This window comes from Homo sapiens, chromosome 5, assembly GCF_000001405.40.
Source record: "Homo sapiens chromosome 5, GRCh38.p14 Primary Assembly".
Lineage (NCBI taxonomy): Eukaryota > Metazoa > Chordata > Mammalia > Primates > Hominidae > Homo > Homo sapiens.
This window is the reverse complement of record NC_000005.10, coordinates 134,298,077-134,322,582: the sequence shown is the minus strand read 5'-3', so window position 1 is coordinate 134,322,582 and position 24,506 is coordinate 134,298,077. Positions and strand designations below refer to the sequence as shown.

Below are 24,506 nucleotides of genomic sequence, written 5' to 3'. Positions count from 1 at the left end.
ACAGTGCTGCAGTGAAATTCTCATATAATTTATATTTGTGCACACATGTGAGTATATCTTAGGATAAATTCCTAGGAATAAAATTGTACAATAAAAAATATATACAATTTAAATTTTGGTGGCTTTTGCCAATTTTTCCTCCAAAGAAGTCATATAAGTTTACACTCCCAGAACAGTACTTAGGACTATTCCTTTCCTATAGCCTCACCAATATAGCAATTACCAATTCTTATAAAGTCGGTATATGATCTACAATAAAAACTTACAAATGGGCCAGGCGTGGTGGCTCACACCTGTAATCCCAGCACTTTGGGAGGCTGAGGCGGGCAGATCACGAGGTCAGGAGTTTGAGACCAGCCTGGCCAACATGGTGAAACCCCATCTCTACTAAAAATACAAAAATTAGCCACATGTGGTGGCACACGCCTCTAATCCCAGCTACTTGGGAGGCTGAGGCAGGAGAATTGCTTGAACCCGGAGGTTGCAGTGAGCTGAGATTGCAGCACTTGCACTCCAGCCTGGGTGACAGAGCAAGACTCGGTCTCGAAAAAAAACAAAACAAAACTTAAAATGATACTACTTGTTTCTTTAGCCTTGGCCTTCTTTAAACATATTTTTAAGAATATATTTATAAATTTCTACATGAAAAAGTGATTTTTTTTTCCCTGATCTGTTTCAGACCTGTGGATATCTGGGCTTTGGGCTGTATGATCATTGAGATGGCCACTGGAAATCCCTATCTTCCTAGTAGTTCTGATTTGGATTTACTCCATAAAATTGTTTTGAAAGTGGGTAGGTATTACTGAAATAACATGAGTTACATGTCTAAAATAAATATTGCCAGATCAATTCTGCTTGATTTTCAAATTTAGCTTTTCTGTGTAAGTACAGGGAAGCATATTGTTTTGATAGATGGCAGCAGATGGGTTCCTTGGGCTGATAAAGAAGGCAGAAAATTCTCTGCTTTAGCAAATAATATTTTCTTTGCTAGGATGCAAATAGCTAAGCCATATGTTGATGGTTGATGCTAAGAAAAATAGTACAATAGGAATGTACTTTAATTTGTCTAAAAGTTGTTTTTAAATTAGGCTTCTACAAATATCTGTACCTTTATATAAGGACTTTAAATAGTAGAGTTGAGTCAGATGCTTTTTTAAAGCACTTGGAAATAGAAAAGTAATTATTTACTCAGAAACCACCCTTCTTTTTAAAGAAAACAATAATAGACAGCCAGATAGCTAAATAACTTATTCAAGAACATATTTGATGAAGGCTGGGCATGGTGGCTTACACCTGTAATCCCTGCACTTTGGGAGGCCAAGGCAGGCGGAGCACCTGAGATCAGGAGTTGGAGACCAACCTGACCAACATAGTGAAACCCCATCTCTACTAAAAATACAAAAAAAATTAGCCAGGTATGGTGACGAGTGCCTGTAATCCCAGTTACTCAGGAGGCTGAGGCATGAGAACTGCTTGAACCCAGGAGGCAGAGGTTGCAGTGAGCCACGATCACGCCACTGCACTCCAGCCTGGGCAACAGAATGAGACTTAGTCTCAAAAAAAAAAAAAAAAAAAAAGAATATGTTTGATGAGAGTTTAATTATTTGATGATCTGCTTTGGCCACCAAAACATTATGATGGTTAGCCTTGAATGTGCTATTTCAAGATTTGTGGGTTTTTTAAATTTTAAATTTAATTTTTTTTTTTTTGAGAGGGAGTCTCGCTCTGTCACCCAGGCTGGAGTGCAGGGGCGCGATCTCAGCTCACTGCAAGCTCTGCCTCCTGGGTTCATGCCATTCTCCTGCCTCAGCCTCCCGAGTAGCTGGGACTACAGGTGCCTGCCACCACACCTGGCTTTTTTTTGTATTTTTAGCAGAGACGGGGTTTCACTGTGTTAGCCAGGATGGTCTCGATTTCCTGACCTCGTGATCCACCCACCTGGGCCTCGCAAAGTGCTGGGAATACAGGCATGAACCACCGCGCCCGGCTAAATTTTAATTTTTTTGAGACAGGGTCTCACTTTGTCACCTGGGTTGGAGTGCACTGGTGCAATCATGGCTCACTGTAGCCTTGACTTCCTGGGCTCAGGTGATTCTCCCACCTCAGCCTGCTGAGTGGCTGGGACTACAGGCACGTGCCATCATCCCCGGCTAATTTTTGCGTTTTTAGTGCAGCCGCGGTTTTGCCATGTTGCCCGACTCGGCCTCCCAAAGTGCTGGGATTACAGGCGTGAGCCACCATGGCTGGCCAAGATTTGTTTTTTATTATTTGTGGATGAGGAGCTTGAGAAGCTCTTTGTGTGGTGGGGAAGATATGCATAAATTTGTAATTACAGGATTATGAGGAAGATACTATGAACAATTCTAAAAACAGTGAAATCTGGATAATTACTGATTTAAGAAATAGTTTAGAGCCTTAAGACACCTCACATTTTTGTGTCTTTTAAGAAGTTCTAGTTAAGAGATTAATATTAGAAGGAACCTTAGATGGTGGGGTTTAATCCTATCATTTCACAGATGAGAAAACCAAGCACAAGAAAGCAAGAGATTTACCCAAGGTCACAGAACTAGTTATAGCAAAACTGCTAGAACTTAGTTCCCTCCACTCATATTTATAGTTCTTTCCATTCTGCTACTACTCTCTAGCCTTGTTTCTTTTTTTGCAATATTTTGATTTCTACATACCTTTAATATTTTAGCTGTTTTGAGTAAGGTTTCAATGTATTTTGCTGATGAACACTTAATAGTAAAATCATTTGGATACCCATATGGAAATGCGTAAAAGTTGGAATATGCATTTTCTGATAGCATTACATATTATGTCTTATAGTTTGGGAAAAGCAAATAAACCTGGTGGTTTTACATCTTCTGTTGCCTGTGGGCTATCAGCAGATAACTGACGAAACCTCAGTTTTTTATGACATGTTCAGATAGTTTTTATTCAACTTCAAAAAATTAAAATACATAATTCACATTCTTCCTTGTATCAGTTTTTAGTAATCTAACATAGATGACATAGCAATTTGATTGTTTTGATTATAGACTATTTCTCTGTTTTTTAAATATACATTTTTTTCTCTTTTCAGGCAATTTGTCACCTCACTTGCAGAATATCTTTTCCAAGAGCCCCATTTTTGCTGGGGTAGTTCTTCCTCAAGTTCAACACCCCAAAAATGCAAGAAAAAAATATCCAAAGCTTAATGGATTGTTGGCAGATATAGTTCATGTATGTTTTTTTTTTTTTTCCTCCCCCGGAGACAGAGTCTTGCTCTGTCGCCCAGGCTGTAGTGCAGTGGAGTGATCTCGGCTCACTGCAACCTCTGACTCCCAGGTCATGAGATTCTCCTGCCTCAGCCTTCCGAGTAGTTGGGATTACAGGCACCTGCCACCATGCCCGGCTAATTTTTGTATTTTCAGTAGAGACGGGGTTTCACCGTGTTGGCTGTGGTTGGCCAGGCTGCTCTTGAACTCCTGAGCTTAGGTGATCCGCCCACCTCGGCCTCCCAAAGTGCTGGGATTACAGGCATGAGTCACCGCACCCAGGCAGTTCATGTATGTTGAGAAATTAAGAATTTATATCTGAGAAATTTGCATAAATTATAATACAGTTTTTAATTATCACTTTAATGAAATTCCAAAAGGATTCCTAAAGTAATGTAAACTGTAGAAAATTATGTCTTTAGTACAGAGAAATTAAAATTCATAGACTGTCAGAGCTGAATGCCCCCTAAGATAATTATGTTCATTATATTTAATTTATCTCTATTTTAATGATAATTAGGTATAAACTGGAGAAATGGGCCAGGCAGGGTGGCTTATGTGTGTAATCCCAGCACTTTGGGACGCCGAGACGGGCTGATCACGAGGTCAGGAGATCAAGACCATCCTGGCCAACATGGTGAAACCCCGTCTCTACTAAAAATACAAAAAGTTAGCTGGGCATGGTGGCACGTGCTGGTAGTCCCAGTTACGCAGGAGGCTGAGGCAGGAGAATTACTTGAACCTGGGAGGCTGAGGTTGCAGTGAGCCAAAATCGGGCCATTGTACTCCAGCGTGGGTGACAGAGAGAGGCTCCGTCTCAAAAAAACAACAAACAAACAAAAAACTGGAGAAATTCTAAGGACTTACTGTATTTATCACTACCTTTTAACATTTAGTTTAGCCCAGTTAGGGACCTATTTTTTGTACTAAAATATCTACAGGACCTGAGCAGCTGTAGTTTTAATGTTTGAAGATACACCAAGGCCAAAATTCCTTCTTGACCTGGAGAAAATAAAAACATTATATAGCTCCTTTTTATTATTTTAAAATTTAAATTTTTATTTATTATTTATTATTTTTGCTTTTGTTTTTGTTTTTTTTTTGAGACGGAGTTTTGCTCTTGTTGCCCAGGGTGGAGTGCAATGGCGCGATCTCAGCTCACCACAACCTCCGCCTCCTGGGTTGAAGCAATTTTCCTGCCTCAGCCTCCCAAGTAGCTGGGATTACATGCATGCGCCACCACACCTGGCTAATTTTGAATTTTTAGTAGAGACGAGGTTTCTCCATGTCGGTCAGGCTGGTCTCGAAGTCCTGACCTCAGGTGATCCTCCCACCTTGGCCTCCCAAAGTGCTGGGATTACAGGCGTGACCCACCGTGCCTGGCCTTTATTTGTTTTTGTTCTGTTTTGTTTTTGTAAACAGGGTCTCACTCTTTCACCCAGGTCAGAATGCAGTGGTGTCACCTCGGCTCACTGCAGTTCCGACTTCCTGAGCTCAGCTGATCCTCCCAACTCAGCCTCCCGAGTAGCCTGGATGCCCAGATAATTTTTGTATTTTTTGTAGAGATGGAGTTTCTCCATGTTGCCCAGGCTGGTCTCAAACTCCTGGGCACAAACTATTAACTTGCCTCAGTCTCCCAAAGTGTTGGGATTACACACATGTGCCACAGTGCCAGTTCCTGTTTAAAAAAATTAATTATTTTTTACAGTCTCATCCTGTTGCCCAGGCTGGAGTGCAATGGTGTGATCGTTGCTCACTGCAACCTCGAACTCCTATCCTCTAGTGATCCTTCCTCCTTGGCCTCTGAAAGTATTGGGATCACAGGCATAAGCAACTGTGCCTGGTCAAAATTTAAATTTTATTTAAAATGGCTAGGTGCAGTGGCTCGTGCCTATAATCCCAGTACTTTGGGAGGCTGAGGCGGGTGGATCACCTGAGGTGGGTGGATCACCTGAGGTCAGGAGTTCAAGACGAGCCAGACCAACATGATGAAACCCTGTCTCTACTAAAAATACAAAAATTAGCCGGGCGTGGTGGCGTGCACCTGTAGTCCCAGCTACTTGGGAGGCTGAGACAGGAGAATCACTTGAACCTGGGAGGCAGAGGTTGCAGTGAGCTGAGATCGCACCACTGCACTCCAGCCTGGGTGACAGAGTGAAACTCCGTCTCAAAAATAAATAAAAATAAAAGCATAAGTTTTATTTAAACTAGGTAATACATATACCAACATATTTAGTACAAAATTTATTTATTTATTTTTATTTTGAAAGTGGTGGCAAGAACCACAATTACTTTTGCACCAACTTAATGTAAGAAATACATAATAATTATAGAAAAAATATAAAATACACAGTAAACAAAAAGGAGAGGTTCAGATTTTCCCAATTCACATGATCCAGAAAAAATTACTATTATCAATTTGGTTTACAAACTTCTAAAGTTTTCCCAACCAAGTAGATGCATAGAAATTTATGCTTTTAAAAAGGTGTCTTACTTTACACATTGCTATGTAACCTGTTTATTTTTACTTACCAGTACATTTAAAGATACTATAATGTTAATAAATATGGAACTACATGATAGTTTTCAGTGATTGCGTAGTATTTCATTGTATGACTATACAATTAGTTTATTTAACTGTTTTTGCATTTTTGGACGTTTGAATTATTTTCGATTTTCCCCCCGCTATTGGTAAAGATGTGACAATAAAATTTTTTTTTTTTTTTGAGATGGAGTCTCGCTCTGTCACCCAGGCTGCAGTGCAGTGGCACGATCTCAGCTCACTGCAACCTCCGCCTCCAGGGTTCAAGCAGTTCTCTGCCTCAGCCTCCCAGGTAGCTCAGATTACAGGCACACTCCACCACGCCTGGCTAATTTTTGTATTTTTAGTAGAGACGGGGTTTCACTGTCTTGGCCAGGCTGGTCTTGAACTCCTGCCCTTGTGATCCACCTGCCTTGGCCTCCCAAGGCACTGGGATTACACGCGTGAGCCACCACATCCAGCTGAAAATTTTTTAGTATTTGTCTATATGCATTTGTTTTATTTTTTTTAGGAGAAATTACTAGAAGTGGTCCGGGGGCAGGGGCTCATGCCTATAATCTTAGCACTTTGGAAGACTGAGGTGGGAGGATCACTTGAGCCCAGGAATTCAAGACCCACTTGGGAAATATAGGGAGACCCTGTCTTTACAAAAAACAAAAAACTAGCCAGGCACAGTGGCATGCGCCTATAGTCCCCTGCTACTTTGGAGGCTGAGGTGGCAGGATCACTTGAGCCTGGGAGGTTGAGGCTGCAGTGAGTTGTGATTGTGCCACTGCACTCCAGCCTGGGCAACAGAGTGAGACCCTGTCTTAAAAAATATATATATTAGAAGTGGATTTAGTAAGCCAAAGGATTTATACTTTTTAGAATTTTTGATATTTTGCTGTTTTTTTCACAGAAATATTTTTCTTATTTATATCCTCACTCTCACTCTAGCATTGGATATTATTATTGTTATTTGAGATGAGGACTTGCTATGTTGCCCAGGCTAGTCTTGAACTCCTGAGCTCGACCAATCCTCCCGCCTCAGCCTCCTGAGTAGCTGGGAGGTATCTTTTTTAAAATTGTATTTATGTCATTACAGGAGAGAGAAACATTATGCTAATATTCATTGTCTATTTGTATTTCTTTTTTTAAAGAATCCTTAGGCCAGGCGTGGTGGCTTATGCATGTAATCCCAGCACTTTGGGAGGCCAAGGCATGAGGATGGCTTGAGGCCACGTGTTCCAGACCCAGCCTTGGCAACATAGTGAGACCCTGTCTCTAAACAAAAGGGTCTCTAAACATAGGGTGTCGTGATACCCACTTGTAGTCCTAGCTATTTGGGAGGCTGAGGCAGGAGGATCCTTTGAACCCAGGAATTTGAGACTGCAGTGATTTATGCTTGCAGCACCGCACTCTATCCTGGGTGACAGAGCAAGACCCTGTATAAAAAAAGAAAAAAATAATCCTTAACCTATTTGTCAACTAAAATATTTATCTTATTGATTTGTGAAAAAAAACACATTAATCTTTTGTCATAAGTTTTGCAATATGTTTGCAAAACTTGCAATATGCTTTTTTTTTTAACAACTAGTATCATCCAATGATTTGGAATGCTACATTTATCATAGACAAAATGCTTATACATGTGTGGGTTTGTTTCTGTTCCATTGATTTTTCTCTTTATTCTAGAAGTAGTACAACTTTGATTTATTATTGTAACTTTAAAATACACTTTGATATCTGATGTAGGGCACATATTTTTCCTAGATATAAATTTTCTAAACAATGTTATTGAGGTATAATTTGTGGGCAGTAAACTATACATACTTAAAATGTACAATTTGAAGAGTTTTGATGCATGTATACACACATGAAACCACCACCACAATCAGGATACCTAACACACACACACACAAACACACACACGATACCTAACATTTCCATCACTCTCCAAAATTTCATTGTGTCCTTTTACAATTCATCTTTTCTTCCATTTCTGTCCCCAGATAACCACTGATTTGCTTTCTATTCCCATAGATTAGTTTGAATTTTCTAGAATCTTATATAAATAGAAGCATACAGTAGGCACTCTTTCATGTCTGGCTTCTTCCACTCAGCATAATGGTTTAGAGATTCATTCATGTTTTTGTATGTATCAGCAATTTGTTCCTTTTTTGCAGAGTAGTAGTTCATTATATGACTATACCACATTTTAAAAAATCCTTTCCCTGTTGATGGACATGTGGGTTATTTCCCACTTTTCGCTATTACAAATAAAGTTGCCATGAGAACATTCATGTTTGTCTTTGTATGGAACACACATTGTATTTTCATTCCTCCTGCAGAAATATCTAAGAACAGAATGGCTGGGTCATGGGTAGGCATATGTTTAATTTTTAAAGAAACTGCCAATCTGTTTCCCAAAGTGTCATGTTTTACATTTTCCAAAGTAGGGCATATATTTAAATTTACTGAATTATATTCACAGAAGGACTGCCTCTAATTGTCTGCCCCTATGATTTGGTCAGACCTTTTAGCATTTTTCTTATAAGTTTTAGTGATAGATTACCATTATATTCTAAAATGAGCACATATTTTTAACTAGTTGCAGGGTTTTTTTAATTTGTTTGTTTCGTTTTGTTTTGTTTTTGAGACGGAGCTTTGCTCTTCTTGCCCAGGCTGGAGTGCAATGGCGTGATCTTGGCTCACCGCAACCTCCTGTCTCCCGGGTTCAAGCAATTCTTCCGCCTTAGCCTCCGAGTGGCTGGGATTACAGGCATGTGCCACCACACCCGGCTAATTTTGTATTATTTTTTTTTTAGTGGGGACGGAGTTTCTCCATGTTGGTCAGGCTGGTCTCTAACTCCCAACCTCAGGTGATCCACCCTCTGTTGCCCCCCAAAGTGCTGGGATTACACGCATGAGCCACCACACCTGGCCAACTAGTTGCAGTCTTAAAGACCTAGGTATTGCCACATCATTAAGTAGGTAACAGACTTAAATAATTTCTCCTTGTGAATCAATGTTTTTTATTTTGGTAAAAAAAAAACCCCACATAACATGGAATCTACCTTCTTACAAAATTATTAAGTGTACAGTATGGCATTTTTAACTATATGCACATTATAGTACAGCAGATCTCTAGATTTTTTTCTGTGAATCAGTTTAAATATGCATTTTGAAATAAACAGAAACATAATATTATATACAATTATCTTGGATTTGCTGGATTTTAATTGTGGCTCCTCTACTTATGAGATCTTAAACAAATTACTTGATCTCTCTGGGCCTCAGTCTCCTCATCTGTATAATGAGGATAATAATAATACTTACTTTGTAGGATTGTTGTTGCGATGGAAGGAAGAAAAAGCTGGAGCGTTGTCTGGTATGTAGTAAGCATCAATAAAAGTTACTAGTCAGGCTTGGTGGCATGTGTCTGTAGTCTGAGCTACTCAAGAGGCTAAGGAAGGAGGATATCTTGAGCCAAGGAGTTCAAGGCTCCAGTGAGCTATAATTGCACCACTGCACTCCAGCCTGGGCGACAGAGTAAGAACCTGTCTCTAAAAAATTTTAAAAGGCCAAGCACAGTGGCTGTCTTCTGTAATTCCAGCACTTTGGGAGACTGAGGCGGGAGAATCGCTTGAACTCAAGAGTTCATCAGCCTTACAACATAACAAGACTCCCATCTCTACAAAAAAGTTAACTATTAATGTTTTACCTCCTTTCACAGGAGGAATGAAAATTATAAAGCAGATGCTTTTTATTGAAAACCTGTTTTCAGTATTTTGATTAAAGAAATGTGTTCCATTTATAATTATTGTTATTTAACTACATATAGATTTATTATGTACAACTTAACATTCAAAACTACCTTCCATATTTTGTTTGTTTGTTTCTATACCAAGAAAGGGAAACAGAAAAGAGCTGATTTAATAATGGGTTATTGAAAGATTTAGGGACTTGAATATTTGCAAAATGGTATTATGATATAGAAAGAGTGCTGGATTAGGCGTCAGACAACATGGGTTAAAACTCGTGTTTGGCAAACTACTAATCATGCTTCTAGATCTGTAAAATGCAAATGATTATCCATGAACTTTCCACCTGTCAGGGCAGAAAAGAGGATCAAAATGAGCTAATTAATTTTTGCTAATTTCAGCAGAAACAGACTGACCTCTGTTTTGGCTAGAATCATGGGACATTTAACCTATAATAATGTTTTGCAAGTGCAAATTCCTTAGGGAAATAAACAGCCAGAACTTACTACCAGAAGTTCCTGAGGTCTAATTCCATCTTTTCAAGAAGGCTTTTTGATCTGGATAATTACTTACTTCTTAATTTGTCAAATAAATTTAATTTTTACCATATGGAGCCCTGTTGAGAGCTCACTTATTAAAATCTTTTTCCTTTCCTAGGCTTGTTTACAAATTGATCCTGCTGACAGGATATCATCTAGTGATCTTTTGCATCATGAGTATTTTACTAGAGATGGATTTATTGAAAAGTAAGCATTTTGAGTGAATGTGGGTTTTTTAAAAGCATTTTGTATTGGGAAATTTTACTAGCAGGAAAATTGCTGTATAGGTTACTTTTATATAACAAATATTCAGTTTAACAAAAATTTATTGAGTTATTGTATCAGGTATTGACTAGGAAGACAGCAGACTTAACAAGTGTCACGAATGAAAAGCCTAATAATAGGATGGGCATAGTGGCTCACACCTGTAATCCCAGCACTTTGCGAAGCTGAGGCAGGCAGATTGCTTGAGCCCTGGAGTTCACGACCGGCCTGGGCAACATAGAGAGACCCCTGTCTCTACAAAAAATACAAAAATTAGCAAGGTGTGGTGGCACACGCTTGTAGTCCCAGCTACTCGGGAGGCTCAGGTGGGAGGATTGCTTAAACCCCAGAGGTGGAGGTTGCAGTGAGCTGAGATTGCACCACTGCACTCCAGCCTGGGTGACAGGTTGAGACCCTATCTCAAAAAAAGAAAAAGAAAGTCTAATAATAAAAAGTAATTGCAACTAACATTCGTTACACAGTTACCATGTCCTAGGCAGTGTGCTCTGCTCTTTACATACTACAGTTTCAGTGTCATCATAGACCAGAGATAACATTAAATAAGCAATCAATACTTCTTAGCTTTATTCCTGTTTGGACCTCTGACTCAGAGAATAGTCTGGTTTTTCCTCTTCTGATGACATTCATTTATCATAATTAGCATGCACTTCCCAAATGATTTTTTTTCTACTTATTCTCTGTTGCAGTGCTTGTTGTCTTTTTTTTTTTGAGATGAAGTCTCGCTTTGTTGCCCAGGCTGGAATGCAGTGGCACAATCTCGGCTGACTACAAACCTCCATCTCCCGGGTTCAAGCAATTCTCCTGCCTCAGGCTCCAGAGTAGCTAGGATTAGAGGCACATGCCACCACGCCTGGCTAATTTTTGTATTTTTAGTAGAGATGGGGATTTTGCCATTTTGGCCAGGCTGGTCTCAAACTCCTGACCTCAGGTGATCCACCCGCCTTGGCCTCCCGAAGTGTTGGGATTACAGGCATGAGCCATTGCGCCCGGCTGCAGTGCCTGTTGTTGTATCCTACCCATGAAATTGGAAGTTCCCTGAAGACAGGTGCCATGCTTCTTATGGCCCTTCTGTGCCCCACATTGCCTATGACATGCCCAGCATATAATCTGTATTACAATTTAGATTCATGAATCAGCCATATTTCTAAAAAAACACCATTTTCTATTTGGGCTTTGAAAGAAACAGGAAAAGTTTCTCATTAACTGTAAAACCATTCAGCTTGTCTTTGGACGTGACGTTAGAAAGATGGACATCCATTAAAAATGTGATGGAGCTAAGGTCAGATATGGAAGAGTCCAGGAACTGCTATTGGAGATAGACTAAATAGAAAAAAGCGAAGAGAATCCTTGAGGGTGACTAGAACTTTGCGCATTTCAGGAATTTTACTCTAAAACAAACAATAAGATGATATATTTAAAGTGCCATTGGCAAGGTGCTGCAGCTCATGTCTGTAATCCCAGCATTTTGGGAGGCCAAGGTGGGCAGATCAACTGAGGTCAGGAGTTCAAGACCAGCCTGGTCAACATGGTGAAACCCCATCTCTACTGAAAATGCAAAAACTTAGCTGGGCGTGGGCATGTGCCTGTAGTCCCAACTACTCAGGAGGCTGGGACAGGAGAGTCATTTGAACCCAGGAGGCTGAGGCTGCAGTGAGCTGAGATCACACCACTGCACTCCAGTCTGGGTGACAGAGCCAGACTCCGTCTCAAAAAATAAAAGAATAGGCCGGGCTTGGTGGCTCACACCTGTAATCCCAGCACTTTGGGAGGCCGAGGCGGGCAGATCACGAGGTCAGGAGATCAAGACCATCCTGACTAACGCGGTGAAACCCCGTCTCTACTAAAAATACAAAAAACAAAATTAGTTGGGTGTGGTGGCGGGCCCCTGTAATGCCAGCTACTCAGGAGGTTGAGGCAGGAGAATGGTGTGAACACGGGAGGCAGAGCTTGCAGTGAGTGGAGATCGTGCCACTGCACTCCATCCTGGGTGACAGAGCGAGACTCTGTCTCAAAAAATAATAATAAATAAATAAATATAATAAAAAATAAAATGAAGTGCCATTGATAAAAAGTGGCAGTTATTGGCTGGGCATGGTAGCTGATGCCTGTAATCCCAGCACTTTGGAAGGCCGAAGCAGGCGGATTGCTTGAACGTAGGAGTTCAAGACCAGCCTGGGCAACATGGCAAAACCCTGTCTCTACAAAAAATACAAAAATTATCTGGGTGTGTTGGTGTATACCTGTAGTCCCAGCTACTACGGAGGCTGAGGTAGGGGATTTCTTGAGCCCAGGAGGTCAGGGTTGCAGTGAGCCATGAGTGTGTCACTGCACTGCAGCCTGGGCAACAGAGAGAGACCGTGTCTGAAAAGAAAAGATGCCAGTTATTGAATTAAGAGGTTGCTTCATATCACTTCTACACAGACGAAGTTTATTTTTCTTGGACATTTAGATATTAGGCTTCTATTATTGTGGGGTGAAAGTACCTTGAGTTCAATTTATAGAATCCTCAGAAGAGTGGGCTGGACTAGGGAAGAATTCATTCATGGGCTGATGTTTTAAAACCTTCCCAAACTGATAGCTGTAGCTGCTTCAAGGAGGGGACTTGTGCAGTTCAGGGAAGGGGTGGGAAGGAAACTTTTCAGTATGGACTTTTGAACTTTGAACCACATGAATGGACTTTCTAATCAAAAATAACTTTTAAAAAGAAAGAAATCAAACTAAAACCAAAATAATCTCTCTCCAATATGAAGGTATTCTGTTACATTTCTCTAGAGTAAGATTTTAGAAGTTAGTTAGTTCATTTTTAAAGTTCTATTACTTTAAAGAACCACAGCTGGGTGCAGTGGCTGACGCTTGTAATCCCAGCAACTTTGGGAGGACGAGGCAGGTGGATCACCTGAGATTGGGAGTTGGAGACCAGCCTGACCAACATGGAGAAACCGCGTCTCTACTAAAAATACAAAATTAGCTGGGTGTGGTGGCACATGCCTGTAATCCCAGCTACTCAGGAGGCTGAGGCAGAATCGCTTGAACCCAGGAGGTGAAAGTTGTGGCGAGATGAGATTGTGCCATTGCACTCATGCCTGGGCAACAAGAGCGAAACTCCATCTCAAAAAAAAAAGAAGAACCACAGAAAAGGTCAAAGTGGTCTGAGTCTTCCTTAAAAATAACAGTATCTTTATCAAAATTAAAAGCAATATTTTTCTGAGTAAAGTTTGCATCGCAGAAGGAATCTAATTAGTATAAATCTATTTTGTAAAAGTTTTATATAGTAGGTTCCCATAGCATAATTTTCGAAAGATGTATCTTTAGAAGAAAGCAATTTTTATTAGGTAAATGTTGGGCCATCTCTTGACATGCATTATAGTTAGCATTATTTATGCTGTAGCTGAAATGTACATTAATTGATGAAATGGTTTATTCAAGATAAAATACTCCATCTGCATATATAAAAAGATTACTCGTTGATATTGCTTGTTTTGTCAGATTCATGCCAGAACTGAAAGCTAAATTACTGCAGGAAGCAAAAGTCAATTCATTAATAAAGCCAAAAGAGAGTTCTAAAGAAAATGAACTCAGGAAAGATGAAAGAAAAACAGTTTATACCAATACACTGCTAAGTAGTTCAGTTTTGGGAAAGGTAAGAACTTTGGTTTTTGTTTCAGCCAGTATAATTATATTATAGTTAGACTCTAATGACAAAAATAACTGTTATGATGACTCAGATTTTGGATGTATCTATTCCAGGAAATAGAAAAAGAGAAAAAGCCCAAGGAGATCAAAGTCAGAGTTATTAAAGTCAAAGGAGGAAGAGGAGATATCTCAGAACCAAAAAAGAAAGAGTATGAAGGTGGACTTGGTCAACAGGATGCAAATGAAAATGTTCATCCTATGTCTCCAGATACAAAACTTGTAACCATTGAACCACCAAACCCTATCAATCCCAGCACTAACTGTAATGGCTTGAAAGAAAATCCACATTGCGGAGGTTCTGTGACAATGCCACCCATCAATCTAACTAACAGTAATTTGATGGCTGCAAATCTCAGTTCAAATCTCTTTCACCCCAGTGTGAGGTGAGCTGTAACAGAGAAGAAACCTAAATAATACAACATTCCTGTATAATGGTATTTCAAAGAATCGTGTTCATAGTGTCTGTATGTAAACTGAACTTGAAGAAAATATATTGAAATTAAAGCTGTATAATGGGCCATTTACTGAGTGTTTCTTATGGATGCTGTAGAAGAAATTAACTTTTCTTGGCCATATAGATGTTTAAATTTTCACTAATGTCTTCTTGAAAAACCTTATTAAAAAAAAAGACCCTTTGAAAAATGTTTTTATTTTTGAAGAGAAAAAAAGTTGGTATGTCCTAAGTTCTGGTATCAATGTGCCTTGGTATAACAAAATATTTATTTCTGTATCATAGCAAATTCTCTAAGTGGAGAAAGGATAGTAAAAAAATAATCTTTCGTAAGTCAAATAGCCTTTCAAGGTGAAATATTTTGGGAGAAAAATAGCATATTAGGCCAGTTTTAGATTTAACCTCTGATACAGATTGAGAGACTGGTCCATGAGTCTGGTTAATCAAGGGCAGTGTGATGGATGGTGAGAGTTTGTCCAACAAGGCAGTAAGGCCACTTCAAAATTTAGGGAGGCTACTGTCATTCTAGGGGAGGAGACTGGGTTCATTAGCCCAAGAGGATTCTAGCAGACTGGTTTGGGCCACAGGTTGTGAAGCCCAGTGGTCTGCAGAGGTGAGCAAGTGGACATGTCCATGTCAGTCCAAAGGTACAGCAGGTTACAGACTGCAAGAGCCTAGTTGTTCTTGAGGTGATCCCAAAACCATGGTATCAGTAACAATGGTTGTAAGCCAGTCAGTCTTGGACAGTAAGTTCATAAATTGAGAAAGCTGATAGTTAAGAGAACCAAATTCAGAACAGGTAGAAGGGAGCAAGTAGGCCAGCAGGAGTAACCCCACAACATGCCTGTCACCACTGATGTAAACATGCACTAATTGTTCTCTGCCCTGTTACCACCTCTCTCCTAAGGGCAATTGGTAGGTAAGGACTCACTATTGCATTTTGGTACTCAGTGTTCAAACAGTAGACTTCCAAGCCATAATTTATTCATTCTTGAAGCTAAAACAAAGGCATTTCGGCCGGGCATGGTGGCTCGTGCCTGTAATCCCAGCAATTTGGGAGGCCAAGGCGAGTGTATCACTTTAGCTCAGGAGTTCGAGACCAGCCTGGCCAACATGGCAAAACCCTGTCTCTACAAAAAATACAAAAATTAGTTGGGCATGTTGGAGCACACCAGTAATCCCAGCTACTTGGGAGGCTGAGGCAAGAGAATCACTTGAACCCAGGAGACAGAGGTTGCAGTGAGCCAAGATCATGACACTGCACTCCAGCCTGGGTGACAGAGTGAGAATCTGCCAAAAAAAAAAAAAAAAAAAAAAAAGCATTTCTGGGGAGTTTTAGTAACTTCTCATTCATTTTTAAATAATAGGTTAACTGAAAGAGCAAAAAAGAGACGCACTTCTTCACAATCTATTGGACAAGTTATGCCTAATAGCAGGCAAGAGGATCCAGGTCCTATTCAAGTAAGGCAAGAAGCTACACATTAAAATATGGCCTCTTTTAACATTACTTCTTTTTTCCTTTTCTCTATCTTTAGGGCTCTAATACTTTTTTGTTTGTTTGTTTTGTTTTTTTGAGAGAGGATCTCTCTCTGTTGCCCAGACTGGAGTGCAGTGGTACGATCTCAGCTCACTGCAGCCTCGACCTCCTGGGCCCAAGCAATGCTCCCACCTCAGCCTCCCAAGTAGCTGAGACTTCAGGCACATGCCACCATGCCCAGCTAATTTTGTTCATTTTTTTGTAGCGACAAAGTCTCACTATGTTGCCCAGGCTGGTCTCAAACTCCTGAGCTCAAGGGATCCTTCCGCCTCAGCTTCCCAAAGTGCTAGGATTACAGGTGTGAGCCAACGCACCCAGCCTCTAACACTTCTAAAAATGTGCTTTAAGTTTCTTTTTTTCTTCCTGAGTTGAAAATAGGCCATTATTTTCTAAGTGCTTTCACAATTAATTAAGTTCATATATCTTAATTTATCACAATTAATTAAGTTCATATATCTTAATTTATGTATTTAACATGTGACTTAGGCAGAGTAAGTTAAGATTTCCACCTTTGAAAGTCACAAGAAGTTTTGTTTTTTTCACTCCCAAAAAATGTTTTTAATATCTTTATGGATTAAAAACAATTGCCAAATAAACACAACTTATTTTCACTAGAAAAAATAATCAAAATAATCGATGTAGTTCATCCCCCTCCCAACTTTTGTTTTGTTTTGTTTTTGGCTTATTTTGCATTATTCATCGCTAATGGGACCTCACAACTTTTTACATAGGAAATTGATTTATTCAAAATTGAAGCACAATGTTAATTATAATAACAAAAAACTGAAAACAATACAAACCTGTCCAAAAGCAGATGACTAAGTACATTAGGGTACATTCATACAGTGGAATACTAAACATTACATTGTGGAAGAGTGTTCATTGATCTAGACAAGATTTTATCATCTGTTTTCAAATGAACAAAAATCTGGTAACACAGAAGGTTTCCCAGATGCTGGATGTGCAATACATTTTTTCCTTTGGGTTTTCCCAGTGTTTACAAAGCATATCATTTTCTAGGTAGATAAAGAAGTTATTAAGAAAATGAACTGAAGCAATTTGTTCAAAGTCAGAGTGCAGTGAATAGTATTAAAAATGAAAAGTTAAGTTTGTGGTTCTGGCCAGGCACAGTGGCTCTCACCTGTAATCCTAGCATTTTGGGAGACTGAGCTGGGAGGATTGCTTGATCCCAGGAATTTGAGATCAGCCTGGGCGACATAACGGACCCTGTCTGTACAAAAAATGAAATAAAATAAATTAGTCGTGTGTGGTGGCATGTGGCTGTGGTTTCAGACTCGGGGGCTAAGATGGGACTATGGCTTGAGCCCAAGAGGTTGAGGCTGCAGCCGTAATGGCGCCACTGTATTTCAGCCTGGACAACAAAGCAAGACTCTGTCTTAATAATAATAATAATAATAATAATAAGGCCAGATGCAGTGGCTCATGTTTGTAATCCCAGCATTTTGGGAGCCCAAGGCAGAAGGGTCACTTGAGCCCAGGAGTTTGAGATCAGCCTAGTCAACCTAACAAGACCCCATCTCTACGAAAAATTTAAAAATTAACCAGGCATGGTGGTATGTGCCTGTAGTCCCAGTTACTTAAGAGACTGAGGTGGGAAGATCACTTGAGCCCAGGGGGTTGACGCTGCAATGAGTCATGATCATGCCAATGCACTCAAAATAATAATAATAATAATAATATTATTATTATTATTATTATTGTGGTTCTCATGACCAAGACTATTATGCTCAGAATATTAAATATGCTAGAAATGTTTGCTTTATGAAACTTTTATTGGAGTTTGATCTGTTGATATGTTCAATAGTGTTCTATTCTAAATCTTCTTAATTATTAAATTAATTGTTATGTCTATCTTATACCATCCAAATGGCTAGCAATTCTAGGATTGTCATTCTACAAATAGTTAGACACATTTCTTCAACTAACTCTTGTTTGTTTGTTTAGAGCCAAATGGAGAAGGGTATATTTAATGAGCGAACAGGTCACAGTGACCAAATGGCAAATGAGAACAAAAGGAAGCTGAATTTTTCCAGATCTGACAGGAAAGAATTCCATTTTCCAGAATTGCCTGTCACAATACAGTCAAAAGATACAAAAGGAATGGAAGGTACACATTTGTTGCATAGCTTTACAATTATGATGATATCATTTATAAGATTTTTTCATAATATAACTTACATTTTATAGTGTGATTTAGGTAGAAAATAGTAAATTGGTGAGGAAAACATTTCAGCTGATGAGATTTTCTCCCCATTGTCAAATAAGGGGTATGATTTTAAGGAGATAATTTTAAAGAGGCTTAGGCGTGTAATCCCAGCATTTTGGGAGGCCAATGCAGGAGGATTGCTTGGGCCCAGGAGTTTGAGACAAGCCTGGGCAACATAGCAAAACCCTGTCTCTACAAAAAATAAAATAGCTTGGTGTGGTGGTGTGTGCCTGTAGTCCCAGCTACTCCAGAGGCTGAGGTAGGAGGATTGCTTGACCCAGGAAGTTGAGACTGCAGTGAGCCATGATCACGCCACTGTACTGCACTCCAGGATGACATAATGAGACCCTGTCTCTAAAAAAAAAAAATTTTTTTTTAATTAAAAAGAAAAATAAAGAGAGGTTAAGACAGCTTTAAAAGGTAAATTATTAAAATTTATTTATTTATTTATTTATTTAAGACAGAGTCTCACTCTGCTGCCCAGGCTGGAGTGCAGTGTTGCAATCTCAGCTCAGTGCAACCACCACCTCCCAGGTTCAAGTGATTCTCGTGCCTAGCCTCCTGAGTAGCTGGGACTACAGGTGCCCACCAACACGCCTGGCTAATTTTTGTATTTTTAGTAGAGACGGGGGGGGGGTTCCACCATTTTGGACAGGCTGATTTCGAACTCCTGACCTCAGGTGATCCACCTGTCTCAACCTCCCAAAGTGCTGGGATTACAGGCGTGAGCCATTGCAGCTGGCTGCAAAGGATAAATTTTTTATTAGCTCAATGTTGTTGAAATGTTAGAATAGTATTTGAGAAATTTGTTTAGTATATGACCTGGGGTAAATTGCCTTTCTATGTTTCTTCATGATCATTTACCCATATAGTAGCAGAAATTTTATATGTATTTTGAGCATCCAAGGATTAAATATATAAGATTTATAGGCTGGGCACAGTGGCTCACACCTGTAATCCCAGCACTTTGGGAAGCCAAGGTGGGCGGATCACCTGAGGTCAGGAATTTGAGACCACCCTGGCCAATATGGCAAAACCCCATCTCTATTAGCCAGGCATGGTGGCTCATGCCTGTAATCCCGGCTACTTGGGAGGCTGAGGCAGGAAAATCACTTGAAACCGGGAGGCGGAGGTTGCAGTGAGCCGAGATCGCGCCACTGCACTCCAGCCTGGGTGACAGAGTGAGACTCCATCTCAAAAAAAAAAAAAATTTATGAACTTAAGATTTATATCAGAATGAAACGCACTTTTGTCTTGAATAAATGTTATGTTTCTTTGAAGAACAGTGACACCTTGTGAAAAATTAATATAATAGCAAGAATATCATCCTTGTACAGTTCAAGAGGAATTATCTGATCCACTTAACAGTTACACTGAGAATAATAAAATAAAATAAAATAAAATAAATGTCTTATTTTAATACTTAGTAGACTATTTGTAAAGTTATAAAACAAATAATTTACCATATTTTACCATTACAACTCATAATTTATTTTGTTCCTTTGTAATAAACTGAGAAACTGACTTAGTGGATTTCTATTTGAAATTCTTGGAAAGGAAAGTAAAATTTCAAAGTAGGAATAACAAATTTTCATTGTTTTGTATATTTTTGCAAAAGTTAAACAGATAAAAATGCTGAAGAGGGAGTCAAAGAAAACAGAGTCATCTAAGATACCAACTTTACTTAACGTGGATCAAAATCAAGAAAAACAAGAGGTAACTCTTTTTGTATATAGCTTTTACTAAGGCATGTTGTTTAGAGGACTTGACTCAGTGTATAAATTTAGTTATTACTATTGGAAAGCTATATAAAAATTCAAAATTTTATAATCTTTGAACTAAAGAAACAGATCTATATTTTCCTAGAATAACCCATTAATAAAAGTTTCTAAAAGTTATTTTTTGGTGGGTAATGTTGAATGATTAGAATGCATGGCACCCAGGGAAAATATTATCTGTATTGTGTGTAGTGTCAGATATCAGGCAGGTAAGTCAGACTAGTGAAAATGAATAATGGTATAAATATATGGTTATATGGCCACAAGCATGTGTGTCTTTGCCTTTAAGCCTCTTCCTTCCTTCGTTTTCTCTCCAGTTTATTCCCTTATCTCTGCTGTCTGCCTGCTGTCCTATTTTCACAAATATTTGCTCTCAGCTAACTATCAGGTAATCTTGTTGAAATATTCCCAGTCCCTACCCACCAGAGAGATTCTCAAATTTTATTTGAAAATCTTGAAGCCTGTAATATCCAAATGAATGCTCTATAAAGACAGTCTTTTAAGAGAGAGAGATTGTGCTGAGCACCCACTGAATTAAATCATATCGATGGCCTCCTATTCTACACTTGTGAGGTCATCTCTGTATGTGATTTATCAACTTCTGTTTTTGTGTTTGTTTGTTTGTTTGTTTGTTTGTTTTTGAGACGGAGTGTCTCTCTGTTGCCCAGGCTGGAGTGCAGTGGCGCGATCTCGGCTCACTGCAACCTCTGCCTCCCGGGTTCAAGCAATTCTCCTGCCTCAGCCTCCCAAGTAGCTGGGACTACAGGCACACGCCACCACACCCAGCTATTTTTTTTAAAAAATATTTTTAGTAGAGACGGGGTTTCACTGTGTTAGCCAGGATGGTCTCGATCTCCTGACCTCGTGATCCACCCGCCTGGGCCTCCCAAAGTGCTGGGATTATAGGTGTGAGCCGCCGCATCTGGCCCAACTTCTGTTTTTTTAAAAAATAAAATTTATTACAGTTTTACTCATGATAAAATTAGTAAATACTTATTAAGAAAATTTGAAGAAATTAAAAATATTTTAAAAAATCTGAAACTCTGTAAGAAGGCATTTTAACAAGGCTACTTGATCTCTATAATATTTGGATAGAGGGTTATCAGACACTATTAGATGTATTCTCACTGTGACATTTAGGGCTATCTCTTTAGTCTTGGCCTAGAGCTTGTTAAGAACTCCACAGTCCACTTTGCAGAGAAGAAATGTTGTAGAACAAGAATGCCATTAGGCCGGGCACAGTGGCTCACACCTGTAATCCCAGCACTTTGGGAGGCTGAAGAGGGTGGATCACCTGAAGTCAGGAGTTCAAGACCAGCCTGGCCAATGTGGTGAAACCCCTTCTCTACTAAAAATACAAAAATTAGCTGGGTGTGGTGGCTCATGCCTGTAATCCCAGCTACTCGGGAGGCTGAGGCAGGAGAATTGCTTGAACCTGGGAGGCGGAGGTTGCGCAGTGAGCTGAGATCAAACCATTGCACTCCAGCCTAGACAACAAGAGTGAAACTCCGTTTAAAAAAAAAAAAATCCATTAATAGTCATCTTTCGGTTCATTATAAAAAGTAATAAGGTGGCTTTAAACTTTTAAATTTGGGTGACATACTCATGTCACAGCACGTTGCACAGCATACCATTTGCACATTTTTTCAATCATTGGGTGAGTTAGGGCTCCTGAGGTAGGCAGACTATTAATGTGCCTCATGTGTTTATCCCATTGTCCTGTGAGAGTCCCCAGGAACTAAAATTACTTTCTAGTCCAGGAAAAAAGGAACTCTGCAGGAAAAAAGACCCTTCTGTGATTTTTAGGATAAATAATAAATTAAGGAGGGAAAACATCTTCTTGTTCATATGATATAGAACTCCAGAAAAAATGAAGTCATCAGTGTTGATTATAGTTTATTTGTACTGCTTATTCAAATGCAGCTCTGACAAGTGACTGAAATTGCATAAAAGGCTAGTACAACTGGTTTTAATAAATGTCAGAATTAAGAACATTTCTTAAATTTTGAGCCTGTAGTTTATTTTAGAGCATGAAAGAATATGACATATTTTTAAAAACATAAGATAGGGAATTGCTAGTTATTTTTTCTATTCTTGGCTCTGTATTGACTTGGTTTTCGAATTATACAATCAGATCCAAGCACTTCTCAGGTTTACTTTATTTTTTATTATTTATTTATTTATTTATTGAGACAGAGTCTCACTCTGCCACTTAGGCTGGAGTACAGTGGTGTGATCTTAGCTCACTGCAACCTCCACCTCCTGGGTTCAAGCAATTTTCCTGTCTCAGCCTCCTGAGTAGCTGGGATTACAGGTGCCTGCCACCATGCCTGGCTAATTTTTGTATTTTGAGTAGAGACGGGGTTTCACCATGTTGTCCAGGCTGGTCTCGAACTCCTGACCTCAGGTAATCTGCCTGCCTTGGCCTCCCAAAGTGCTGGGATTACAGGTGTGAGCCACCACGCCCTGCCAGGTTTACTTTTTAAACTCTTTCAGCTATCTCAAATGTGCGTGCATGCATTGAATAGGTTCTATAACCAGAGAGAGACTAAATTACTGGGAATGAGTGAGTTAGGCAAGAGAGAAAAGAGTCCATACAAAGGCCACCTTTTGTTTTGTTGGATGATAATGATAAGGAATACATTGCTAAATAGTTTCCCTGTACCTTATGAAACAACCCATAGGGGCAAAGTACAAGTATTTATCTCTGGCTGTATTTCCTTAGCCAAAGACTCACCATGTCCTCAATTAAAGACCTGTTTCTATTTACTTTTTAGAATACAGGAAATGCACAAACTGAAAGGAAGAAGAACTTGCCAGATGTAGAGTAGAAAATGCAGCAGCTGAAAATTCAGGGAATCCCAGAATCACTGTATGGTTTTTTAAAAATCCTTTTTATTAATGTTACATACACAAAAATGCTAACTAGATAATTTTACAGGTATATCGTAAATCCTGTTAGTTATATGTACATTCACCTAAATTTGTTTTTAAATTTATTAATCTTTAAATTATTCATGTTTTCTTAATTTGAACATGAATTTATAAAAACTACCTGACTGGTACATCCTAATAAAATTGCAGCTTACATTTAGTCATATAATTTTATTTGATCACCTATTATTTCAATCATACTTGATGAGTGGTCATTCTTAGCATTGGTTTAGGGCTTTATAATTACAGAAGGAAAAGTTTCTAAATATGTGATAAAGTAAGATCCTGATGTCTGGGAACACCAAACATTTCTGAGCAAACAAATATACTTGATAACCATGTAACATGGGTTTGGCTTTACACTGAACTTTCTGGAGCAGCATTTAAACATATCATGAAGATTGTTTAAAAGGATGGAAATTGGTCGGGCATGGTGGCTCACGCCTGTAATCCCAGCACTTTGGGTGGCCGAGGCAGGTGGATCATGAGGCCAGGAGTTCGAGACCAGTCTGGCCAGCATGGTGAAACCCCATCTCTACTAAAAATGCAAAAAATTAGCCGGACATTGTGGCGTGCACCTGTAATCCCAGCTACTCAGAGGTGGAGGCAGGAGAATTGCTTGAACCCGGGAGGCGGAGGTTGTAGTGAGCCGAGATCACGCCACTGCACTCCAGCCTGAGCACAGAGCGAGACTCCATCCCGCTGCCCCCCGCAAAAAAAAAGATGGAAGTTGAGCAAGGCATTGAAGCAAATCTTTTGGCTTGACTAGCATGTTTATAATTTAGTAATTTACATGTAATTTAGCATTAATAAAGTCAGAGTTTTGGTAGCATATATTTACATTCCAGTCCCTGATTCTTACTAGCTTGGTTTCTAATTTTAGGGTGGAGATGGCCATTGCGAGGGGAAGAATTTGAAGAGAAACAGGTTTTTTTTCTGGTAGTGTCTTTTCTTTTACATAGTCCAAAAAATACAAGATGACAACTCTTCCCGTTTTATTTATCTACAATAGAAGTGTGATGTGAGTTGTTGTTAAGACAGCCATCCATGTGCATGAGCATCATCCAGCTTTTTTTGTTAGCAAAACATTTACTGTTTTCTTTTCCCTTTTAAGACTCTGTTGATGTGATAATTTGATTTGGAATTATAAAGTCATCTCTTCTCTGCCTACTTCTTTTTTTTGCCATGATTACTGAGTGGATAACACAAGCCGTGACATGATACAAACTGTACTTATACTTAATGATCTCTGCCTTCTTGTAGCCACATAACTTCGAGTCAGTTATCTCCTATAACACACAGGCCTCTTTAAATGAGTTCTTAATAAAATATTTGAGCCGTTGTTTTAAAAGCTATTCATGGCTGGGTGCAATGGCTCATGCCTGTAATCCCAACACTTTGGGAGGCTGAGGCAGGCGGATCACTTGAGGTCAGGAGTTCGAAACCAGCCTGACCAACACGGTGAAACACCATCTCTACTAAAAATGCAAAAATTAGCTGGGTGTGGTGGTGCACAG

The 24,506-nt window shown here is 39.3% G+C and overlaps 1 protein-coding gene across 30 annotated transcripts in view; it reads left to right on the top strand.

Annotated features, from left to right (window-relative positions):
- Positions 1-24,506, top strand: part of CDKL3 (cyclin dependent kinase like 3) — an 88,280-nt gene that overhangs the window by 49,042 nt on the left and 14,732 nt on the right. For 15 of the 30 annotated variants that reach the window (XM_024446093.2, XM_024446099.2, XM_024446101.2 and 12 more), the window contains 10 exons: positions 680-792; positions 3,086-3,225; positions 10,203-10,291; positions 13,856-14,009; positions 14,117-14,445; positions 15,881-15,974; positions 18,016-18,178; positions 19,896-19,993; positions 20,373-20,443; positions 23,873-24,159. In XM_024446093.2, the coding sequence (XP_024301861.1) occupies positions 680-792; positions 3,086-3,225; positions 10,203-10,291; positions 13,856-14,009; positions 14,117-14,445; positions 15,881-15,974; positions 18,016-18,178; positions 19,896-19,993; positions 20,373-20,443; positions 23,873-23,906 (1,285 nt within the window). In that variant the 3' untranslated portion in view covers positions 23,907-24,159. Of the gene's footprint in view, positions 1-679; positions 793-3,085; positions 3,226-8,665; positions 9,173-10,202; positions 10,292-13,855; positions 14,010-14,116; positions 14,583-15,880; positions 15,975-18,015; positions 18,179-19,895; positions 19,994-20,372; positions 20,444-22,832; positions 23,159-23,872; positions 24,160-24,506 lie in introns of those variants that run through there. The other 15 variants (NM_001300853.2, XM_017009534.2, NM_001113575.2 and 12 more) reach the window with 13 other exon arrangements.